The 7,223-nt window shown below is 43.1% G+C and overlaps 1 annotated feature.

The window, feature by feature from the left end:
• Positions 364–953: an enhancer, noted in NCBI's record as "OCT4-NANOG-H3K4me1 hESC enhancer chr16:55274625-55275214 (GRCh37/hg19 assembly coordinates)". NCBI's record gives its function as "activates a minimal SCP1, AML or CMV promoter by ChIP-STARR-seq in naive H9 embryonic stem cells {active_cell/tissue: H9 hESC(naive)}" and the evidence as "EXISTENCE:reporter gene assay evidence [ECO:0000049][PMID:30033119]".

Here is a 7,223-nt window from a genome sequence, read left to right as displayed (position 1 = left end):
CTGGTTAAAAACCCAGGGCTGGCCAGACGTGGTGGCTCACACCTGTAATCCCAGCACTTTGGGAGGCCCAGATGGGCAGATCACAAGGTCAAGAGATCGAGACCATTCTGGCCAACACGGTAAAACCCTGCTCTACTAAAAATTCAAAAATTGGCTGGGCATGGTGGCACACGCCTGTAGTCCCAGCTACTAGGGAGGCTGAGGCAGAAGAATCGCTTGAACCTGGTAGGTGGAGGTTGCAGTGAGCCAAGACTGAGCCACTGCACTCCAGCCTGGGTGACAGAGTGAGACTCCATCTCAAACAAACAAACAAACAAACAACAACAACAAAAAATCAGGGCCGGCCAGGCGCAGTAGCTCACGCCTGTAATCCCACCTACTCAGGAGGCAGAGGCAGGAGAATCACTTGAACCCAGGAGGCGGAGGTTGCAGAGAGCCGAGATCGCGTTGCAGTCCAGCCTAAAGCTGCCCCAGCTGAGCAGGGCTTTTGCTGAAGCCATGAAGCCGAGGCTCCCTGAGCAATGCATCAGTTATGTGAAGGGGATGGAGAATGAGGCAGACCCTGCTTCAACCTACTTATGATGAATAGGGAGGATTCCTTTGTCATTAGTACAATTGCTAGCCTACAATTAGTATGGAAACCTGTCCTCTAATTTACTCAACAAAGAAGTCCCAGCAGGACCTCAACTTAGAGATAATTTGTCAGCAGTTAGATTCATAGGATGACAGCGCGGGAAGAGTCACTGTAAATTCTTGAGAGGAATAAAGCTGCATCCACTTAAAAATTATCCTGTAATTCCGCCTTCTCTCTGACCTGCTCCCCACTTAATCCAAATGTGTTTATTTATGATGTCTAGCTTCCTACTTTCCAAAAGAATTTGATATGGCTTGCATTAAAGGCTCATTTCAGATGAAGAATGGATTTAAAATAAAAGAGATCTAGGCAACTCCATGGTCTCCCCTGAGAAAACAGAAGGGACCTGGAGGAGATGCAGAAATGATGTTAGACCCTCTGGCTGAGGAGGGATTGAGGCAGGCCAGGTTAAAGAGTGATCATAGGGGTGGGTAGCACAGACCTTTGGGATCTAAGGATGGAAAGATTTTGACATTCCCCTCTGGTCATGGGAGGGTGACTTTGAAATCCCAGCTCTTCCGTTGAAGGCTCCATATTTCATCTGTTGATCTGTTGAGTTTCCTTCTCCCAAAGCAGCATTCCCATTTTTCTAGTGGGTAGCGTATTTCCTAACTCCCTGGGCATATTTTCCAGGTGCAGGGGTTGAAGAGAGGAAAGAGGGTCAAAAGAGAGGGGAGAAGGGGAGATTGATCAACACCAAGTAAGGCTAATACTGTTGTAGACCTTACCCTGTGCCGCATACTATTCTAAGCATCTTATATGAATTAACCCAATCTTTGTATAATGATCCTGTTATCATCCCCACCTTATAGATAATGAGATGGAGCCATGGAGAGATTAAGGAACTTGCCCAGGGGCAGTGCACAACCATGAGACTCTTGGTCTAGGCTCCTAACAGCTGGACCGTACTGCCTCTCTATAGGCCAGGGCACTTGAGCTTGGGCTTCTCCACCACAGGGGTTGCCTACAGCAATGGTCAATTGTCCAGGTCAGCCCTGGAATACCAGCTTCCTGCTGAGTGAGGTGGGAGGGAGAGGCCTGCATGCCCTGGGGCCCCCAGTCAGTACCCAGAAATTGGGAAAGGCCCCAGGAGAGTCCCCAGTGCTGGCCAAAAAAAGGAACTGAAAAAAGGCTCTGTATCAAGAGAAAGCCTAACATCCCCACAGGGTGGGGAAGGGGAGATTATCCTAGATTTGGGGGGTACACACTTTGCAAAAGACCTTATTACCTGTCTTACCCCCACATAACAAAAGACACCTGTAAGTTACTTCAGAGACAAACCTGGTTTACTGAACTCCTTTGGAATGCCACAAAACACTTGCTCTCTGTAATCGCTGAGCCCTGTTATAACTATAATTTGGGTAGGGTTGACAAGAAATTGTTAGTGCGGGGTCTGCCTCCGAAGTTCAGAGGCTCCTGTATGCAAAGGGATGGGGGGCCTCTGTGCCTGGCTGTTCTGCCCCAACTTTCCCTTTTTATGATCCCTACATGAAAGGAAGAAGAAAACACAACAGGCTTCCTCCATCATAACCATAGATGATTTGGATTTCATCATCTTTGCATTGTGAGGGAAGGATTTGCAAATGGTATGTTTTTGAGACTCTGGCATAATTATAATCATGGCAATAATTATTCCTTTTCTTCTCTGCACTCAGACTCATAGCATAGTCAACTATTTTCCAACTTTCTGTTTTCCCCTTCTCAGCCCTGTCAATGACCCTTCAATATGCCATTCCCCCAAATCAAGTCTTCTGGGGTTCCTGGAGCTCAGCACAGATGTCAATAATCTGTGTTGTAGTTTCTTCATCTGTAAAATGAGGATAACAGTCCCAGTGTCTTATGGTCACTGTGAAAATTAAATGGCTAACATATACGGAATAATTAATACATGGCCTGGCAAATAGTAAGTGCTCAATAACTATTAGCATCTATTATGTTAATTGTATTGATTAATTGGGACCACAGTAATGTTATATAACAATCACATCACTTTAGTGGCATACCAGGATAGTTTGTTTCCCATTAGTTATGGTGGTCAGCTAGAGGTTGGCTGATCTAGGCTTGCACACTTGCATATCTGCAGGTCAGCTGGGGCTGTGCTGTAGGCTGGGTTGGCTGGGACATCTTAGCTGGGCAGTTCTGCCTCACACATCTCTCATCCTTCTCCTGGCATCAGTGGATTGATCCAGGAATGGACTTCTCAAGGCAATGATGGGAGTGTAAATGAGTAAATGGAAACATGCAGGGCCTCTGGAAGTCAAGAATAGAGATTGGCACACAGTCCGTTTTATCTCTTCTATTGGCCAAACAAATCGTGTGGGGATAGGAAAACATATACTCTCCCTTTTTGGAGGAACTCCAATGTCACATGAGAAGGGCATGGGTGCAGGCAAGGTGAAGAATAGGGGCCATTAATGCAATTGATCTATTATGTTGATTATCATCAGCCCTGTTTCTATTTAAATGCAGACTTTGAATCCGATCTTCCAGCTGGGGCTGGAGCATCTCCACCTTACACACTTTCCCAGGTGATTCTGTTGCAGCAGGTCTGACTTAGGGAATCCTACTCCAGGTGTAAAACCAACTGATCTTAAGGATCATCTGAGACACTGATGAAACAGATCAGACTCCTGGGCCACTCTCCTGGAGAGCCCGGGAACCTGGATTTTAACAAGTTCCCCATGAGGGAAAGCCACTGATTTGGAAAGCTGGGAAACACACCTGTCATGCAATTCCTGTTGGTTTTTTTTTTAGATATAAAGACTGAGGCCCAAAAAAGGGAAAAGGAAGTGACAAAAGTCACCCAGAAAGAAGGTTCCAACTGCAGCTTGACTTCAGGTGATGTAGCTCCCACCTGGCCAGGTATCTTTTCCAATATACCAAAATAACTAGAAAAATGTCTATGCCTTAACTCGGTCACCATAAAGACTCAATGGAATTGAGTGTTTTAGAAAAAAAAGTCATAGTTTATCACCCCAAGCTTGATTTACAATGGCTTCTGACTTGCTACCTCTTTTGAACACAGACCTTTAGCAATCAAGGTTTCACATAGCACAGACACTCTCTCATAGGACCTTGAGGGGTTGTGGCAGCTCCTTTAGGGTCTGTCTGAGCTGCAGAGAACCACCTTGCCTGAGGTTATGCCCTTCCTGGGTTAGTGGGCACTTGGGTGAGGGACGGTACAAAGGCCTGGTCATTGTGCCTTAATTTAATTGGAGCCATTGAGAGCAGCGCTCCCACTCCAGAGCTCCCTGCCAGATTGGCTGTGTCTCTGCTGGGCTGCACCAGAGTTCAGATCCTTCCTGTGCTCAATCCTGTTTCCTCCTAAGTATCACAGATGTTGATTCTTAAAAAAATCTTGTACCCGGAACTTGATTGCAGCATCTCCTTTAGGAGAACCTAAAAGAGGGGTCAAAGGCAGCCATGGTGGTATGGAAAGGAAGGAAGGACGTCAGCCATGGTAATTAACTTTGAAGGGAAGGACGTCAACCATGGTAATTAACTTTGCTAAGGGGAGCACATTGGGGGAAACTGAGGAGTGTGTCAACCAAATACAAGCTTTTAAAAGAAGCCTTGGCCGGCAGAAGTGCAGGAGGCTCCTAAACATTTAAATCACCTTTTCCTATTGATTAAGGTAAATACTTTACTGATGCTGTTAATCCATACCCCTATAAATCCTCAACGTGTGATAGTTTTACTGTGTACTTAATGTTTCTGTCTTTAATTGAATTACATCCCCCTCAGCCCAAAATGATGAACTGAAAGTTAGAAATCATGTTGGCTCTGACAAAAATGGGGCATGTTTATTTTCTTTGTTTAATTTGAAGAACTAGACCCTTTGAACATAAGTCAGCAAGCCTGACTTTATCACCAGTGGTTGACCCCATCTCTTTACCTCACTGGGCCTCAGTTTTCTCACCATGAGATGGAGAAAATGGAGACTTTGCCCGTGTAAGGTAACAGCTTGGAAAGCCAGGAGGCCATAAAGGAGCCTCATTATAAATGCCTCAAAGCAGGGCTCTGTACAAAAATTTTCCAGAATCTTCTGTGGTACCCGCAGGGAGTGGACACAGTGGTCCTGGAGCCTGTTAATTCCTTCTGCTACCCCCTTTCTACACTGCCACCAGCTGATTGATTTGCCCACTTAAAGACGGCTGAGTGTAAATATCCACCTGTCAATCACCCCATTATGCTAAGTGCCCAGCCGGCCCTGAATAGTGATTTATGCTCTCCAATGGATGGCTCTGGTCCTTGGCAGCTGTGCCATGTGCACAGTAGGGAGAGTAAAGTGCAGCAGGTTGCATCCCCAGGGTCTCCACCCTAGACCCTCAGGGACGTGGTCTTTTCCCGAAGAGAGGCCTGACTGAAAGGTGGGAAGCTTTCTCAGATCCCTTTTTCACTCCATCCCTGCTGAGGGTAGGGAGTGACCTTCAGTGAACCTCAGAATCTAAAGGAACTAATTTCTTCCTACAGAGGAGGAGGATCTACAACAGTGGTCCTCAAAAAATGCCGCTTTGCCCCCCAGGGGACATTTGGCAATGTCAAGAGACATTTTTGAACGTCTTGGCTAGGGGTGAGCTTCCAGCATCTAGTGAATGGTGTCTAGAGATGCTGCTAAACATTCTAAAATGCACAAGACAGGCCCCCAGTTAAAGAATTGTGAGGTCCAAAGCATCAATAATGCCACCATCAAGAAACTCAGATCTACAGGGAAGAGCGAACGTTAATCAAAATGGGGTACTAGACGGCTCAACGAAACTTCTACAGGTATGTGATGATTTGTTGCAAGACTACTGTGGAAAGGCAGGAGTTTGGGGGGATGGATGAGCGTGGTGGTGGTCTTCGGAAATGGAACAGCTGGTCAGGATTTCCCAGTGCTGACGCAGTTGTCTATAACCCTCAGTTTACAGAGATAGGTTCTAAGGCTCAGGTGGTGGCTAATATATAGAATCGGGATCGTTGTCTCTTGAAAAGCACATCAGGGCTCTTTTCAAAATCAGAGATAGGCAATCATTTTAAGAGATTAACTGGTAGCAGCTTTCCAGTGCATGTGCCCAGCAGGCACCTGAACCTAGCAGAAAAGAGTACTGGGATTGATTTGTGATGTCTGCCACAGATGCAGGTAAGAGGAATGATGGCACTTGGGAAACATATTTACCTTCCTTGTACTTCACCATTTTTCTTAGCCTCAACTATCCATAGAGAAACATATTTAAGGCCATTTAAAAACATATTTAGAATCTTGTTAGGCTGCATTAAAAGACATGCTTTTAACATACTCTTCTGAAAAATAAAATTATCCAATTTTTAGTAATGCATGCTTGTTGTAGAAAATAAAGACAAATAAAGAAGAAAATACAAATCCTCTATATCCCATACATACAAATCCTCTATATCCACAAAGGATAGTTTGATAGTTTCCTTTAGACTTTTATTCTATAAAGTATCTCTTCTTCTCTTAAATTTTTCTGAAATTGAATTCATGATGATTTATTGCTGTTTTTTAAATTAACACTAAAATATGTGCATAACCCATGTCATTAAATATTTTTGTAAGCCTTGCTAGTTCAAAGGCTGTAATGATACACTGCACAATGGATTGTTAACATTTATTTAATAAATATCCTGTAGTTGGACACGTGGGTTTCCTCCAGGTTTCTTTTATTTATTTCTCTCTTTTTTTTTTTTGCTATTGTTACAAGATAAACAACTTATACACATTTTTTTTGAACATGGATGAGTATTTTCCTACACTCCATTTTTATGAGTGGAGGAATGACTGGCTTAAAGGTTATAAGAATTATTATGAAAGTCCTTGATACATAGTGTCAGGTTTCTTCTAGAAAAATGACTCTAGATTATACATCTCTTGAGAAGGAATACGAGGGCTAGTTTCTCTAAATTTTTATCAAAAATGACAATTTTTGAAACTTGCTGTCTTTTAAGAAATAAAATAGTATATTGTTTTTAAGACTGCATTTATTAATGAGGTTGAAATTTTTAAAATGATTGTAATTATTTGTATATTTCTCTTGTGTGAATTGTTTGTATCCTTTACCCATTTTTTCTTTAGGATATTTTTTCTGGTTTTATTTTGTATAAACTCTTTGAACACACTGGTCTTTATTAAGATTAGTACATTTGACACCATGGAATACTATGTGCCATAAAAAATGATGAGTTCATGTCCTTTGTAGGGACATGGATGAAGCTGGAAACCATCATTCTCAGCAAACTATCACAAGGACAAAAAACCAAATACCGCATGTTCTCACTCATAGGTGGGAATTGAACAATGAGAACACTTGGACACAGGAAGGGGAACATCACACACTGGGGCCTGTTGTGGGGTGGGAGGGGGGGGATAGCATTAGGAGATATACCTAATGTAAATGACGAGTTAATGGGTGCAGCACACCAACATGGCACATGTATACATATGTAACAAACCTGCATGTTGTGCACATGTACCCTAAAACTTAAAGTATAATTTAAAAAAAAAAATGAAAAAGAAAAAAATAAAGTAAAATAAAACAAATTAAAAAAAAAAAAGAACACATGTGCAGTCACTGGTGTCACCCTGGATAGG

The sequence above is a fragment of the Homo sapiens genome, chromosome 16 (genome assembly GCF_000001405.40).
Source record: "Homo sapiens chromosome 16, GRCh38.p14 Primary Assembly".
Taxonomy (NCBI): domain Eukaryota; kingdom Metazoa; phylum Chordata; class Mammalia; order Primates; family Hominidae; genus Homo; species Homo sapiens.
Note: the sequence above shows the minus strand (reverse complement) of the source record. Positions and strands in the feature narration are given on the sequence as shown.